The following is an 18,580-nucleotide window of genomic DNA, read 5'->3' on the forward strand; positions in this document are numbered from 1 at the left end:
TTTTCTATTTCTTTGTCTATCTGGGATTTTTTAAAAAACATATTATTTATCTCCTTTGTAAAGATCTGTGGCATTGTATTATTCATTTGTGTGTCTGTCTGTACCATGAGGTTGGGAACACCATCGGTAGCTTATATGTATTTTGCTCTAAAATGCTTATTGAGTGAATGTATGATCACACTAACTAGATGATATTTCTACATGACTAATCCTATTTAAAATGAAAGTTACACTCACATTTAAAGTTGCCATAGTTGCAGCAATTATTTTAAAAAACCCTATTTATATCTAGTCTCAGTCTTTCAAAGACAAGATCTAAGTCGAAGCCCTAGCACACGTCTGCATCTTTCTAATCCCTGCTAGGAATGGGCAGGTGATTTGCGTAGTGTAGGTTGAAAGAAAGCAATAGCAACACTTAGAGTGTCCCTGACATATATCGCCTGGGGGTCTGACATCATTGGCAGTGTTCTGGAGAGAACATACATCCACCTCCTACCACTCTTCAAAAGTTTGAGGGTTAGGGACTTGAGCATGGAGACAGAGTTGAAAAGATGACAGAAATGTTATGTTACACAATTTGGTTCCTCTAGGGACCAATCTTAAGCTGTGTCAAAGAAATATTGATAAGGTTAGAGAATGTGTGTGGTGAATTACAAATACTCCAAAATTATCATCACTTGAAGATCCTCGCACGACACAGTCCATGCTTCTGAAAATCACTATATGCACAGTGAGAAACTATTGCTTACCCATCAGATTGGTGAACATTACAAAGACTTACATAAAAATGTTGTCAAGGATGTTGATGGAGAAAGAACTTTCAATTCACAATTTAGGAATATAAATTGCTACAACTACTATAGAGAATGCTTTGTCAATTTCTAATGCTCATTAAGACGTACACATTGGTGGAAAGATTTGGGTGTATACCCAACTGTTTTTCATGTGCTTGAGGAAACATGTACAAGAATGTTCACATGACATTGTGCTAGAAAAAAGTAGGAAACAAAATGTCTATCAACAGGAATATGGGCAAATAAATTATGGAATACTCACACAATATTGAAAATAAATAAAATATAGGTACACATATCAATACTCATTAATCTCAAAAACATAATGCATTAACAAGCAAGTTGCAAAAGACTACTGGCAGTGTTTATATGAATGCTGAAGGCTTGTGAAACTATATTATATTGTTTATGAATACATTCCCATGTAGGAAAAGTATAAATGAATGCATGGGTGTGACAGAAAGCAATTCTGGAGGGTGGTTGTCTTGGGGAGAGGAGAAAAGGGAGATAAACCAGAAAGAGCACAAACACACTGTATTAATTATGCTTTTTATTTAAGCCAAATGAAAGGTACATCAGTGTCCATTGTATTAATTTTTGTATCCTTTCGGATGCTTTAAATAAACATTTCTTTTCTTTTCTTTTTCTTTTTCTTTTTTCTTTTCTTTTTTTTTTTTTTTGAGGTGGAGTCTCACTCTGTCGCCAGACTAGAGTGCAGTAGTGTGATCTCGGTTCACTGCAACCTCCAACTCCTGGGTTCAAATGATTCTCCTGCCTCAGTCTCCTGAGTAGCTGGGACCAGAGGCGTGCGTCACCACACCCAGCTCACTTTTGTATTTTTAGCAGAGACAGGGTTTTACCATATTGGCCAGGAAGGTCTTGATCTCTTGACCTCGTGATCCGCCCACCTCAGCCTTCCAAAGTGCTGGGATTACAGGCATGAGTCGCTGCACCCGGCTTTAAATAAACATTTCTAAAAGTAAAATACACAATTGCCAATAGAGTTGTCAGTATTGAGACTAGAAACCAAAGATACTGTCTCAGTTTTTAAAGCAAACATAATGGCATAGTATATCATAGAGGGGAAAAAAAACTCAATAAAAGAAAATAAAAGAATAAATATTGCAACAAACCCATTTTCCTTTACATTCAAATATTTTCAACCAGAAGCTGAATTTTACGTTTGAGTCCAGAAAATGTCCTTGACAGTATTGTGAAAAAATTGTAGGACACATGCATGCAATTGAGATAGCCATTTCTTTGACTCTAGAAGTTCTGACATAATAACTTAAAATTTGAGAGGAGCTCACAAAAAGAAGTGTGAAACCAAATTGTCTAGAGAAGCATAAAAGCACTCCTCCTCTGCTTGAAAATTAGCTGGAGCTAATTTTGGTCTGCTCAATGCCAGTGTGTACAGTGGCAAGAAAATTAGCTCCATAGTTTTACTTTGCTTTTTGTTTTGTTTTTATTGTCTTTTCAAAATAAGTCTTTGGCCCCAGGTTAATAGGAAAAGCATTTTTCTAATTTAGGTGCAAGGAGGAGCTTAGCTGTTGGTACTCCTAAGTGAAAGTCAGCATTGAGTAAGAGCTCACACTCTGCTAGAAATTTAAGGCCTATTATATTTTAGCATTGATTTAAATACTTGTCACCTTTCTGATGAGTTGTAATTATAGAAATTTTATGAAGGACTTGAGATGAAATTTCAAATAATTATATTATTTAATGTCTTAACAATGTATTTTTAAGCAAGAAATCCACAATGAACAGTTACATGAGAATAGAATGTTCTCATATTACATGGTCTTTAGCTCTCTATAACTCAGATTGGGAAGTAGAGATAACATGTTGTTAGACACTTTTCATGAAAGGCTTATCTCTTTAGGTTGAGTGGTAAAGCATTTTAATCAAAATATAAATTTGCAAATATATTTATAGTCCCTAGCCTTAGAATATTATTAAAATCCTATAATAAATATATTTTTAAAGTTGAATAAGAATGGAACTTGAATGAATCCAGTAACCAGGCAAATAAATCCTTATTTTTCTCATCAGGGATGTGGAACTACATTTTCTCACACTTCTACAGGCTATATTAACCATTCAATATTCAACCTAATCATTTAATAATATCTTACATGTTTCAGCTATTTCACTTGTTATCAGTTTAATTGAGGTTCTCCAATGACATCAAAGTCTCTTCTCTTTCAATTTCCACTGTGTAGGGAAGTGGGAACAGTGAAATATTAGATATATTTCTAAATCTAACCAACCAATAAAGATTTTTTGGGAAAAAAAGTGATTGGGAGTTAAAAATTGAGGTTTTGTCATCTGAAACTTTAAAAAAATGTAGCTTGATCAATTAATATAAAATTACTCTGTAGCTTCTTTATAGTCACAAAATGCCAGACAGCCTCTGAAAAAAAGCAAAGGTATTCTTGAGCTTTTATTATTTTAAATCAGTTATACATTCCTTGCAACTTTGAAATGTCACAAGTCAATATATTTGAGGACAAAATGTCTGAAACCTGATTTGTAGAGATCCTGCTAGTCAAGGATTCAACATCTATAGAAACCCACTGGCTATACAGAAAAATGAGAAGCAGAGTTTAATATTTTCATCTCCATTCTTAAAGCATAACACATTTGCCATGGGATACATGGTTAATTGTGAAATGTATCATACATATGAGTGTATAAGTACAATTTAAATAATATATAAACTACTGCTGCATACTTCCCATCCAGGTTAACTAATAGAACATCACTGGTAACAAAATGCCTCCTGCATATTCCTCCTTGATATGTTCTTCCTTCCCTTCACACTTAGCCACCATCCTGACTTTGTGTTAATCATTCCCCTATTTTCCTTTATAATCCTACCACTTATATATGTATCCATAAGCATTAAACTGTTTATTTTTGAAATAGTGAGTAGCAAGCTCAAATCTAACTGTGTAAGAAAAAGATAATATGGTCACTGTCATATCAGAAGGAAGCTTCAAGAACAAAAGGAAACTGTCCTGAGATTGTGAGTCTGGTTTCTGTTTCTCCAACAATTTACAGAAAACCATTTTGAGGAAGTCAGTGAGCAGTGAGCAAGGTCCCAAATGAATCCTAGAAACTCAGGGCTCACCTCAGTGGGAATCCGGCAGGGCTCAAGTATGGGCCAGGTTTGAGACATCAGGAAGGAATCTGTTTGGGGAGAACAAGCTGCTCTGTATTTTCTGTTTCTAAGCTCACCAGGGCCTATCTCTTAGGACAAGTTTAAATCACATTTCTGTGCAGTGATGTGAATGCCCAGCAGGTGGGGCAGCAAGACAAGGAGGGAAGAGTGGAAACTTCATAAAGACACGGTCAAAGGAAGCCCAGGATAGAGGAATCTTGGCTAGTCTCACCGGGCATTCTGCCTCAGGTTAAGAAGAAAGAACACAGAGGTGCTTTGTCTTGGTGATATGGGACCCTTCTGGTCCTCCATGTCCCATGTACACTTGGGATCCTGGGATCTCTCTTCCCCATAGCCCTGGGAATTATTTTTCCACTAAGTTTTGTATTGGGTATCCTGTTTTCCGTGTCATTTATATTCCTTTTTCTTGGTTTCTCTCTTAGTGGCACATACCCTTCATTAGTTTCTAGAGAAATTGTTGATAGGAACTTTTAATCAGATCTTGCATGTCTGAAAACTCCGAAGGCAACCTTCTTTTTTATTATTATTATACTTTAAGTTCTAGGCTACATGTGCACAATGTGCGGGTTTGTTACATATGTATACATGTGCCATGTTGATTTGCTGCACCCATTAACTTGTCATTTACATTAGGTATTTCTCCTAATGCTATCCCTCCCCCATACCCCCACCCCATGACCATTTTCACACACAGACCCTGGTGTGTAATGTTCCCTGCCCTGTGTCCAAGTGCTCTTCTAATTGTTCAATTCCCACCTATGAATGAGAACATGTGGTGTTTGCTTTTCCGTCCTTGTGATAGTTTGCTCAGAATTATACTTTCCAGCTTCATCCATGTCCCTACAAAGGGCATGAACTCATCCTTTTTTATGGCTGCATAGTATTCCATGGTGTATATGTGCCACATTTTCTTAATCCTGTCTATCACTGATGGATATTTGAGATGGTTCCAAGTCTTTGGTATTGTGAATAGTGCTGCAGTAAACATATGTCTGCATGTGTCTTTATAATAGCATGATTTATAATCTTTCGGGTATACACCCAGTAATGGGATCTCTGGGACAAATGGTATTTCTAGTTCTAGATCCTTGAGGAATTGCCACACTGTCTTCCACAATGGTTGAACTAGTTTACACTCCCACCAACAGTGTAAAAGTGTTCCTATTTTTCCACATCCTCTCCAGCACCTGTTGTTTCCTGACTTTTTAATGATCACCATTCTAACAGGTGTGACATGGCATCTCATTGTGGTTTTGACTTGCATTTCTCTGATGACCAGTGATGATGAGCATTTTTTCATGTATCTGCTGGCTGCATAAGTGTCTTCTTTTGAGAAGTGTCTGTTCATATCCTTTGCCCACTTTTTGGTGGGGTTGTTTTTTTCTTGTAAATTTGTTTAAGTTCTTTGTAGATGCTGGATATTAGCCCTTTGTCAGACGGGTAAATTGCAAAAGTTTTCTCCCATTCTGTAGGTTGCCTGTTCACTCTGATGGTAGTTTCTTTTGCTGTGCAGAAGCTCTTTAGTTTAATTACATCCCATTTGCCTATGTTGGCTTTTGTTGCCATTGCTTTTGATGTTTCAGTCATGAAGTCCTTGCCCATGCCTATGTTCTGAATGGTATTACCTAGGTTTTCTTCTAGGGTTTTTATGGTTTTAGGTGTAACATTTAAGTCTTTAATCCATCGTGAAATAATTTTTGTATAAATTGTAAGGAAGGGATCCAGTTTCAGCTTTCTACATATGGCTAGCCAGTTTTCCCAGCACCATTTATTACATAGGGAATCCTTTCCCCATTTCTTGTTTTTCTCAGGTTTGTGAAAGATCAGATGGTTGTAGATGTGTGGTGTTATTTCTGAGGCCTCCATTCTGTTCCATTCGTCTATATCTCTGTTTTGGTACCAGTACCATGCTGTTTTGGTTACTGTAGCCTTGTAGTATAGTTTGAAGTCAGGTAGCATGATGCCTCCAGCTTTGTTCTTTTTGCTTAGGATTGTCTTGGCAAGGTGGGCTTTTTTTTTTTTTTTTTTGGCTCCATATGAACTTTAAAGTAGTTTTTTCCAATTCTGTGGAGAAAGTCATTGGTAGCTTGATGGGGATGGCATTGAATCTGTAAATTACCTTGGGCAGTATAGCCATTTTCACGATATTGATTCTTCCTATCCATGAGCATGGAATGTTCTTCCATTTGTTCGTGTCCTCTTTTATTTCGTTGAGCAGTGGTTTGTAGTTCTCCTTGAAGAGGTCCTTTAAATACCTTGTAATTTGGATTCCTAGGTATTTTACTCTCTTTGTAGCAATTGTGAATGGGAGTTCACTCATGATTTGGCTCTCTGTCTGTTATTGGTATATAGGAATGCTTGTGATTTTTGTACATTGATTCTGTATCTTGAGACTTTGCTGAAGTTGCTTATCAGTTTAAGGAGATTTTGGGCTGAGATGATGGGGTTTTCTAAATATATAATCACGTCATCTGCAAACAGGGACAATTTGACTTCCTCTTTTCCTAACTGAATACCCTTTATTTCTTTCTCTTGCCTGATTGCCCTGGCCAGAACTTCCAACACTATGTTAAATAGGAGTGGTGAGAGAGGGCAACCCTGCCTTTTGCCGGTTTTCATAGGCAATACTTCCAGTTTTTACTCATTCAGTATGATATTGGCTGTGGGTTTGTCATAAATAGCTCTTATTATTTTGAGATACGTCCCATTAATACCTAGTTTTTTGAGAGTTTTTAGCATGAAGGGCTGTTGAATTTCGTCGAAGACCTTTTCTGCATCTATTGAGATAATCATGTGGTTTTTGTCTTTGGTCCTGTTTATGTGATGGATTACATTTACCAATTTGCGTATGTTGAACCAGGCTTGCATCCTAGGGATGAAGCCAACTTGATCATGTTGGATAAGCTTTCTGATGTGCTGCTGGATTCGGTTTGCCAGTATTTTATTGATGATTTTAGTATCGATGTTCATCAGGGATATTGGTCTAAAATTCTCATTTTTGTTGTTATTGTGTCTCTGCCAGGCTTTGGTATCAGGATGATGCTGGCCTCATAAAATGAGTTAGGGAGGATTCCCTCTTTTTCTATTGATTGGACTAGTTTCAGAAGGAATGGTACCAGCTCCTCTTTGTACCTCTGGTAGAATTCAGCTATGAATCTTTCTGGTCCTGGACTTTTTTTGTTTGGTAGGCTATTAATAATTGCCTCAATTTCAGAGCCTGTTATTGGTCTATTCAGGGATTCAGCTCCTTCCTGGTTTAGTCTTGGGAGGGTGTATGTGTCCAGGAATTTATCCATTTCTTCTAGATTTTCTAGTTTATTTGCATAGAGGTGTTTATAGTATTCTCCGATGGTAGTTTGTATTTCTGTGTGATTGATGGTGATATGCCCTTTATCATTTTTTTGCATCTATCTGATTCTTCTCTCGTTTCTTCTTTATTTGTCTTGCTAGCAATCTATCAATTTTGTTGATCTTTTCAAAAAACCAGCTCCCGGATTCATTGATTTTTTGAAGGGATTTTTCTGTCTCTATCTCCTTCAGGTCTGCTCTGATCTTAGTTATTTCTTGCCTTCCGCTAGCTTTTGAATGTGTTTGCTGTGGCTTCTCTAGTTCTTTTCATTGTGATGATAGGGTGTGGATTTTAGATCTTTCCTCCTTTCTCTTGTAGGCATTTAGTGCTATAAATTTCCCTCTACACACTGCTTTAAATGTGTCCCAGAGATTCTGGTATGTTGTGTCTTTGTTCTCATTGGTTTCAAAGAACAACTTTATTTCTGCCTTCATTTTGTTATTTACTCAGCAGTCATTCAAGAGCAGATTGCTCAGTTTCCATGTAGTTGTGCAGTTTTGAGTGAGTTTCTTAATCCTGATTTCTAATTTGATTGCACTGTGGTCTGAGAGACAGTTTGTTGTGACTTCTGTCCTTTTACATTTCCTGAGGAGTGCTTTACTTCCAACTATGTGGTTAATTTTGGAGTAAGTGAGATGTAGTGCTGAGAAGAATGTGCATTCTCTTGATTTGGGGTGGAGAGTTCTGTAGATGTCTATTAGGTCTGCTTGGTGCAGAGCTGAGTTCAAGTCCTGGATATCCTTGTTAACCTTCTGTCTCGTTGATCTGTCTAATATTGACAGTGGGGTGTTAAAGTCTCCCATTATTATTGTGTGGGAGTCTAAGTCTCTTTGTAGGTCTCTAAGGACTTGCTTCATGAATCTGGGTGCTCCTGTATTGGGTGCATATATATTTAGGATAGTTAGCTCTTCTTACTGAATTGATCCCTTTTCCATTATGTAATGGCCTTCTTTGTCTCTTTTGATCTTTGTTGGTTTAAAGTCTGTTTTATCAGAGACTAGGATTGCAACCCTGGCTTTTTTTTTTTTTTTTTTTTTTTTGCTTTCCATTTTCTTGGTAGATCATCCTCCATCCCTTTATTTTGAGCCAATGTGTGTCTCTGCAAATGAGATGGGTCTCCTGAAGACAGCACACTGATGGGTTTTGACTCTTTATCCAATTTGCCAGTCTGTGTCTTTTAATTGGAGCATTTAGCCCATTTACATTTAAGGTTAATATTGTTATGTGTGAATTTGATCCTGTCAGTATGATGTTAGCTGGTTATTTTGCCCGTTAGCTGATGCAGTTTCTTCCTAGCCTTGATGGTCTTTACAATTTGGCATGTTTTTGCAGTGGCTGGTACCAGTTGTTCCTTTCCATGTTTAGTGCTTCCTTTAGGAGCTTTTGGAAGGCAGGCCTGGTGGTGACAAAATCTCTCAGCATTTGCTTCTCTGTAAAGTATTTTATTTCTCCTTCACTTATGAAGCTTAGTTTGGCTGGATATGAAATTCTGGATTGAAAATTCTTTTCTTTAAGAATGTTGAATATTGGCCCCCACTCTCTTCTGGCTTGTAGAGTTTCTGCTGAGGGATTCGCTGTTAGTCTGATGGGCTTCCCTTTGTGGGTAACCCAACCTTTCTCTCTGGCTGCCCTTAACATTTTTTCCTTCATTTCAACCTTGGTGAATCTGACAATTATGTGTCTTGGTGTTGCTCTTCTCGAGGAGTATCTTTGTGGTGTTCTCTGTATTTCCTGAATTTGAATGTTGGCCTGCCTTGCTAGGCTGGGGAAGTTCTCCTGGATAATATCCTGCAGAGTGTTTTCCAGCTTGATTCCATTATCCCCGTCACTTTCAGGTACACCAATCAAACATAGATTTGGTCTTTTCACATAGTCCCATATTTCTTGGAGGCTTTGTTCAATTCTTTTTTTTCTCTAAACTTCTCTTCTCGCCTAATTTCATTAATTTGATCTTCAATCACTGATACCCTTTCTTCCACTTTGATCGAATCAGCCACTGAGGCTTGCGCATGCATCATGTAGTTCTCATGCCATGATTTTCAGCTCCATCAGGTCATTTAAGGTCTTCTCTACAATGTTTATTCTATTTACTCATTTGTCTAATTTTTTTCAAGGTTTTTAGCTTCCTTGCAATGGGTTCAAACATCCTCCGTTAGCTTGGAGAAGTTTGTTATTACCAAACTTCTGAAGCCTACTTCTGTCAACTCATCAACGTCATTCTCCATCCAGCTTTGTTCCATTGCTGGTGAGGAGCTGAGATCCTTTGGAGGAGAAGAGGTGCTCTGGTTTTTAGAATTTTCAGCTTTTTTGCTTTGGTTTCTCCCCATTTTTGTGGTTTTATCTACCTTTAGTCTTTGATGTTGGTGACCTACAGATGGGGTTTTGGTGTGGATGTCTTTTTTGTTGATGTTGGTGCTATTCCTTTCTGTTTGTTAGTTTTCCTTCTAACAGTCAGGTCCCTCAGGTGCAGGTCTGTTGGAATTTGCTGGAGGTCCACTCCAGACTCCGTTTGCCTAGGTATCACCAGCAGAGGCTGCAGAACAGAAAATATTGCAGAACAGCAAATATTGCTGCCTGATCCTTCCTCTGGAAGCTTTGTCTCAGAGGGGCACCCAGCTGTATGAAATGTCAGTCAGCCCCTACTTGGACGTGTCTCCCAGTTAGGCCAAACGGGGGTCAGGGACCCACTTGAGGAGGCAGTCTGTCCGTTCTCAGAGCTCAAACACCATGCTTGGAGAACCACTGCTCTCTTCAGAGCTGTCAGACAGGGACGTTTAAGTCTGCAGAAGTTTCTGCTGCCTTTTGTTCAGCTATGCCCTGCCCCCAGAGGTGGAGTCTACAGAGGCAGGCAGGCCTCGTTGACCTGCAATGAGCTCCACCCAGTTTGAGCTTCCTGGCTACTTTGTTTACCTACTCAAGCCTCAGCAACAGAGGACGCCCCTCCCCAGCCAGGCTGCTGCCTCGCAGTTTGATCTTGGACTGCCACGCTAGCACTGAGCAAGGCTCTGTGGGCATGGGACCCACTGAGCTAGGTGTGGGATATAATCTCCTGGTGTGCCATTTGCTAAGACCTTTGGAAAAGCACAGTATTTGGGTGGCAGTGACCCAATTTTCCCAGTACAGTCTGTCACGGCTTCCCTTGTCTAGGAAAGGGAAATCCCCTGACCCCTGTGCTTCCTGGATGAGGCGATGCCCCAACATGCTTTGGCACCCTCCATGGGCTGCACCCACTTTCTGACCAGTCCCAACTAGAGGAACCAGGTACCTCAATTGGAAATGCAGAAATCACCTGTCTTCTGCATCGATCACGCTGGGAGCTGCAGACCGGAGCTGTTCCTATTTGGCCACCTTGGAACGGACCCCACAACTTTCATACTGATTGTTAAGATGGGTATAGAATCTGGATTAGAAATAACGTCTTTACAAAATTTTGAGTGTATTATTCCATTGTTTTCTTGCTTCCACTGTTGTTGAGAAATCCAAAATAGTTTTTACCCCAGATCCTTTGTTTTTGATATTTTTTCTCTTTCTCTAGAAACTTATAGGATCTTGCTTTCTCTTCACAATTCTGAAATTTCAAAATGATGGCCTTTGTTGTAGGTCAATTTTTATTCAAAGTTTTCAAATTTTATTGTGTTGGGCACTTGGTAGACACTTTCAAACTGTCAATTTATGTCTTTCAGGTCTAGGATGTTTTTGTGAATTATTTTATTGATGATTTGTTTCTCTTTATTTTCTATATTGTCTTTTTCTGGAATTTCTGTTATTGGGATACTAGAATTTCTAAAAAGTTTCTTTAATTGTCTATATTTTTCTGTTTCATTATTTCTTGCTTTACTTTCTGGGAGATTTTATCAACTTTTTATTTTTGCATTTTGACTTTTTAATTTCAAAGCATTCTTTGTTTTCTGAATCATCCCTTTTATGTGGCATCTTATTCTTGTTTCATGGACTCAATAACTTCTCTTATCTTTTTAGGATGTTAGTCATTAACAAAAAGATTAAAAAATAAACTTTATTGAAGTATAATTTACAAACAATAAAATGCATCCATTTAAAATATATCATTAAATGAGTTTTCACAAATGTATACCATAGGGTAACCACCTCCATAATCAAGATATAGAACATTTCCATCATCTTCCAGTCAACTTCTCCACCTATATCCTGGTCTCAGGCAATGACTGATTTGCTTTCTGTCAGTATAGGTTAGATTTATATTTATGTAGTTAATGATAGAATTTTAATTTTTCCCCTAAAATAATTTATTTATTCCAAACTGTTTTTAGTTTGTTTTCTTTTTCTTCAGTGAGTATGCCTTGTTCTCTTTCATGTAGAGGTGTTCCAGAAATGTCTGGACATCCTTGCTGGTCTACTCACTATCAAAAGTAGGAAATTAAAAAGGTGACTGGAAGATCTGAGCACCTGGGAATATTAACTTTGAGATTAACTACAGTATGATCAGTGTGGGCTGCTCTTGGAAAACCTTCTGATGTTAGCTCCTTAGACAGTTTCCTTGTGCTGGTCACTAGAGAGGAAATTTTCGATATTTCACATAAATAAAAGGCTGGTAGTGTTTGGGGAACTGAATAGAGCAAAAGGTTGAGATGGGAGGTCTTCAGTATTTTTATTCAGCTTACATATAGTCATTTTCTTTATTTTTCATAGGGCACCCAGCTCTAAAGTCCCACATACAGAGACCTCACCACACCCACACTTTACTATCTCCATAGAATCAACTAGCAAACTTATGCTGATATACACATGCAGTTTCTCAGTGGCTTGGAGTAGGCACGACACTAACTGCTCTTTTACCCAATCTTATTTAAGACTTTCTTTTCATCATCTCTTTTCATCGTTTCTAGATACCTAAGTCTCTCTTTTCATCATCTCTAGATACCTAGAACTGACAGTTATCAGAGACTGTATTAGTCAAGGTTCTCCAGAGAAACAGAACCAATAGGATATATACAGATATAGAAAAATAAATTTATTATGGGACTTTGCTCATGTGATTATGAAAACTCAGAAACCCCATGATCCACCATCTGCAAACTGGAGTCCCAGGGAAGTTGGTGATAAAATTCAGTCTGAGCCCAAAGACCTGAGAACCAGGAGGAAAGTCTGCCGGTGCAAGCCCAGAGAACAAAGGCCTGAGAACCTGCAGCTTGAATGTCTGAAGACAGAAGAGGGATATCCAGCTCCAAAAGAGAGAGCAAATTAACCTTTCCCCCACCTTTTTGTTCTATCTAGGCCCTCAAGGGGAGGTAATGTCCACCTGCATTTGTAAGAGGAATCTTCTTGACTGAGTCCCCCTGAGTACCTCAAGGGGAGGTAATGTCCACCTGCATTTGTAAGAGGAATCTTCTTGACTGAGTCCCCCTGAGTACCTCAAGGGGAGGTAATGTCCACCTGCATTTGTGAGAGGAATCTTCTTGACTGAGTCCCGCGATTCAAATGCTAATCTCTTCCAGACACACCCAGAAAAAATATTGTACCAGCTATTTGGGCATCCCATAGTTCAGTCTAATTGACACATACAATTAACCATCACTGAGGCTTTTGAGAATTCTCTGATATAAATTAGGTTGGTGTTTAATTTTCTCCACTCTCCGTTTCCTAGGCTCTGCTGAGTCAGTTACCACTTGACTTTCTGTTTTCCAGCTCCCAGTATTTTGTTTTTGCTCTCTATCCTATTTTCCTCATCCTTGGGGGTTTATGCCTGTGTTAAAAAACCCCTAACTTTATTGCTAAAGATGTTTAGAGAGAGTAGAATTAGATGCATGTGCTCAACCTATTATCTTGACCCCCAAACTTCCCACTATTAGACATTTCTTACTTTAACATATGCAATAGAAGAATTAGTGTGTAAATTAATCAAATATATAAATGTTTATGGAATAAAGGATGCCCTTTATTTCAATTGTTAATTTCACCAATAGAACATTTTCATAATATTTTACATTATTTCTATGCTACCTTTTTACTATAGAGTCATTCACTAGGCACCATTTTTGGGAATTTTATATTCAACATGCTGCTAATCCACTATTACAATCAAAGGGAGAATTTTAAAACAACATCAAGCAATGAATTAGGCAAGCCCTCCTACTTAGGATTTTGACATAATGAATTAAGTCCTCTGATGTTATTACTTGTAAATAAAATATCACTACTCTATTTAGAATTTACATTTAGTTATAGTAATAAATGTAATAATTTCAGACTTAGAGCATTAGTTTCATTAAATTAAAACGTGGATGCAGATATCTAAGAACGCAACAGAAGGGAGTTATATCGGATTCTGCTTCTATGCAGAATGACTTGTATACTTGGGCTGAAAGCTTTTTAAACACCAGGGACAAAAATCCTGTGGGCCATTTGAGTGTAAAGGCTATGTCCTAACTCATTAACATTGTACCTAATGGGTGTGTGCTCCTCCAGAAAGGCAGGTTGAAAATATTCACTCAGGACAAAAACAGGCCGTTTCAAGTCCAGCTGAGGTGTTGGGTAGGCTTGCCATATAAAATGCAGGCTGCCCAGTTACATTTGAATTTCAGATCAACTAGAAACATTTTTCTTTTTTTTTTTTAGTGAAGTACATCCCATTCAATATTTGGGACATACTTATACCAAAAAAAAAAAAAATCAATGTTTACCTAAAATTCAAATTTAATGGGGGATCCAGTATTTTATTTGTTGAATCTGGTTACTGAAGTCAAGGCCCTTAATCTGGAATTAGAATCTCTAGTAAAGTTTGAGTCAAATAAATAAACATTTTAAAAGCTCTAGGAAAGAAAACTTAGAGCTCAAGGCTGCCAATGCAGTGATCAGGGAACAGCGTATTAGGAATTAAAGAGAAAATAATACATTCCATACAGCATGGGCATAGAGCATCATGGTTTTCAGGAGGACAAAGGAGACTCCCCAATGTCTTCTTAATCAGATGGAAGGAATTTAATACAATGAGCATTCTGGGCATTACTGTACCTTTGTTTGGCAATGGCTTTGTTGTCCTCCCTGGGCCAGTGAGACCTGGAGACCTGAGGTAACTCTACTATAACAAGCACAGAAAACTGTTTATACTAGGGAGCTCTGAGTTTAGAGAAGGTGGTGGAAGATATTTGCAAAAAGAGCATTAGGTTAAAATTAAATTATAATATTTCAAATCATACCTTTTCTGATAGGAGCAGACCTTTCCTAAGCACCTCTATTTGCCCCTAACTCCATGAGCTACCATCTATTAGTATCTATAAATAAGAATTTAATATGGACTTTCAGAATAGGCTTTTTATTTGTTTTTTGTTTGTTTGTTTTAAAGACTGTCTTCAATGTTTCCCTTTAGGAGCACACTTGATCAGAGCTTGCAATCTCTTGAGGATTCTTCCCCATGCTCTTCATTTTCTTCCAAGAACCCACACCATTGAAAAAAACAGAGAATTTTCTAAATTAGCTGAGGGAGTCCCCAAATTATCCAACCCATTTCCCTTCCTTTAGGCAGCCTCCCATTCACATAATGCTAGAGAGCTGTTCATCCACCCTGTGTTAAAAGACTTGCGGGGAAATGATATAACATACCTCTGTGGGAGATTCTTTTTCATTTCTTTCTTGCTGTTATTTTCAGACATCTGTTGACCTGAGATTGAAACTTTGATTTCAATTTATCCAAAAACAGCAATTCTTTTAAAAAAGAAGCAATTAATAGGATAAAAACATGGCCTTCACCTTCCATACCTGAGTGGTGAAGTGTCCAGCTCTCCAAGCTGTGACTGGTAGCAGTTACTCATCAGACAGAGATGTCTAAGGTCCTCAGTTTCCCTCCTTCTACCACAAGTTCTGCATAACTGCTCCTTTCTTGTTGGACATTTGGCAAAGAGGATTGTCTGAATCTATAATGGAGAAAAGGAAAATAAAGGCGTAATCATTTTATCTATTGTTAACTTTTTAAGTTAAAATTTTCTGCACATAAAATATTTTATATATACATATATATCTGCATTTAAAAATAAATATAGCAGATTTCTTTCTAAGATTTTCTAAATCTTTTTATTGCATATTTTATTTAAAGACTACGGTCTCTCCAATCTTGAGCTAAATAGCCCCATCTTTGGGATGATTATCCATTACAGTTACGAGATATAATATTATGTAGGAACTGACACTCTGTAATAAAAAGTTCCCTAGGGAATCTATTTTTCTTGTTAAGGTAAAGTTTTAAAGTAGAGGTGAAGCTGTGAGCTGAATTGGTGGTGGGCAATAAAGGGAAGTGTTGCTGCATAACCTCAAGTCTGGAGAGTGTAGTACAGCCAGCCGCCAGTGCCCCCAGAAGAACAAATTGGAAGAACTGCTTCTGTGAAAACTGTACAGAATTAGCTAGAACACAGCTTGAAGGAGAGTCTACTATGTAGACTCAACAAACATACCTGGGGCTCAGCAATGGTTAGGCTTTTGTCTTTTAGGCTCCAGTTCTGCCCTTGGTCTAAGAGCAGGCTGCTCACTCTCTCTCCACTTTCTATGTAAGAACAAATTCCTAATTACATAAACAGTCTCTAAGATGTGCTTTGCTGCTTAGTCCTCACCATGCCTCTGAGACTTTTTCTTTTATTAAAAATAAGGACAAAGAAGAACTTCCTTTTGACCACTGTCCCCATTTTATTTGTCTGTGTCACTCAGCACATGGCCCACAAGTCATGTACATTCCCAGTGCTACTTCAATAAACCAGTGGTTCAGAACCAGGAGCTATTTTACCCTCCAGAAGACATTTGGTAATGTCTGGAAACACTTTTGATTGTCATGAATTGGGGGAGGGGTACTACTTCTGAATTTAATAAATGGAGGCCAGAGATATTGCTAAATATCCTACAGTGCATGGGACAAACCCCGTCTTCCCCAGCAGCAAAGCATTATCCAGTCCAGAATGTCAACAGGGCCATTCTTGCGAAGTTCGGAATCAAACCAAGGGAAGAGGACAATTTGGCTTCTTTCCCTCATCTTTTTCAGGTGAATTCTCTTTTCCTCACTATTTCCCTGTTTCTTCCCCAAACTCAGAATGGCAAGTCTTCAGTTTCTCTAGCTGTAGTAAACTTTGAGCACCTAGTACATCTCCCAGCTCAGGGGCAGATGCTCCGGAAATGATGATCTCTTGTCAGTCCTTTGCCAACTGACCTCATTTAAGGCAAGTCCAGTCTGATGTGTACAGCCCACCAAAAAAGATGACATCTGGCCTGTTGGCATCCTTTCTTAGAATCCTTTCCATTGCCATAACAGGAAGCCTGTGGGAAGAGTTTGGGGATTTATTTTATGACTTGAAAAATAATCAACAAGCTTAGAAGAGCAGAAAAGAAAAGCTACATGAGGCAGTCCCTCCTGAACACTGTTCAGGGTGCTCCCTCATATGCCAGATACCATATTCCTTGTGCTGTTGTCATCCTAAACATGTTGGATAGAAGCTGGCAGTTAATTTTATCTTGCTAGTATTCTTATTTTCCTTTGGTACATAATATTATAAGGGTACTGTTTATACACTTAGAGCAACATTCAATTTAAATTACAGAATACCAAGAGAGACCATGCACGGAGACACCTCTCTCAGTGAAGCTGTTCTCAGTTAAGCGGGAATCAGGCTGTGCTCTCCGGGAAAGAGGGATTTCCTGGAGCTTTTTAAGGGAAAGGACACAGAACTGCAGCAAACAACATATTGAGGTGATCTGGCCAGTTCCGTTTCTTCTTTTTAAAGCATGACTTAACTCACAACTTCACAAAACAGACTATAAGTTTACTTGGACATTATAAATAATGATAATAATAATAGCTAATATTTATGGAACTCTCGGTATTTAGCAATCACAATGCCAACTGCTTTATAGCATTTTTTCATTTATTAGAATCCATTCCATCCAACACTTTCCAAACAATTATAATGTGTTAGGTATGGCAATGGGTTATGAAAGTTTGCAGTCATGTAAAATTATTAACAGTTAAATTAAACACAATTATATGTTTCAAATAATAAATGATGAGATTGCAGTTCTGGTATTAACTGGATTACCAATGAAACTTTTGGCCAAGGGAGCCTTGTGTACTTTTCTTATTGTGGTCTAGATGTTTGTTCTCTAATAAACCACTATTAGCCATATAAACTATTTACATTTAAATCTAAATTTATTAAAATAAAAAATTTAAATTTAGTTTCATGGTCACACTAGCCACCTTTAAATTACTCCATAATGACATGTAGCTGGTGCCAATTGTGTTGGACAGCACGATATGGAATATTTCTGTCTTTCTAGACAGTTCTATTGGACCACACTGAGTCTAGCATCCTCATAGTCAGACTTTCTTCTTCTTAAGTCATTCACTTTTATACCCCACATTGGTCCTTTTTTGCATTCTAGTTACACAAGACCAATCAATTCCTGATATCTAAATTAGCCTACAAGTTGCATAAAGTTCTGGATCGATTGACAATATTCTCATAACTTGATCTTTACTGAGTTTTCTTCCTCAACCATAAAGAATCCATTAACTGAAAATGCTGCAGTTATTGCTGTTGTTTTATATCATACAAATCTATACCACATAGGAAATGCTGGGGTATGGCTCTATTCCAATGGAAGAGCATTCTATAATGTGTCTGTAAACTCTGTTGGATAAAATGCCCACTATGAATGCCTTCTGTCATCAGAATGGAACCGTTTATATAAATCTCCTTGGCTTTGAGCTGGAAACTAACATGTTATAAGCTGAACATTACCTCAAAACTCCTCACGTTGTTCAAAACACCTTTCTCTTTATGTCATTTCATATCTCCCACTAACTCTAAAACATCTGTCAAATCCGTACTCTCCCTCTCCAGCTCCTTAGCTCAGGTTAGCATTATCTAACATGGACTGTTGCTGGAGCCTCTTAGCTAGCCTCTGCCTTGCTTCCAATCATCTTTTTAGACAGGATCATCTTTTCCAATGTTCATCTAATGATGCACCATCAGCCCCTCCCTTCTCCCTGCTTATAACCTTTCAATTCTTTGATCCCACTCCCAGAACCCTGGATGTCCTAGCTGCCTCCTCACTGTTCAGTCTCACCGCGGACCACACCCCCTTCCTCATGTGTCTACAGTGGCTTTCTTTTCCTCCCATGTCTATAGCCTCTTCTCAGTATTGTTCTCTCTGCCAACGATTCTTTCTCTCTCCTCCTCCCTTTCATCAGTTAATACTGATTAGCCCATCAGTGACTAGTCAACTGAAAGTCACTTT

At 38.1% G+C, this 18,580-nt stretch overlaps 1 annotated feature.

Annotated features, from left to right (window-relative positions):
* Positions 14,637 to 15,836: an enhancer, noted in NCBI's record as "MED14-independent group 3 enhancer chr8:65322543-65323742 (GRCh37/hg19 assembly coordinates)". NCBI's record gives its function as "activates an origin of replication core promoter dependent on BRD2, BRD4, P300/CBP and CDK7 cofactors, and independent of MED14, by STARR-seq in HCT116 cells {active_cell/tissue: HCT116}" and the evidence as "EXISTENCE:reporter gene assay evidence [ECO:0000049][PMID:35650434]".

This window comes from Homo sapiens, chromosome 8 (genome assembly GCF_000001405.40).
Source record: "Homo sapiens chromosome 8, GRCh38.p14 Primary Assembly".
NCBI classification, from domain to species: Eukaryota; Metazoa; Chordata; class Mammalia; order Primates; family Hominidae; genus Homo; species Homo sapiens.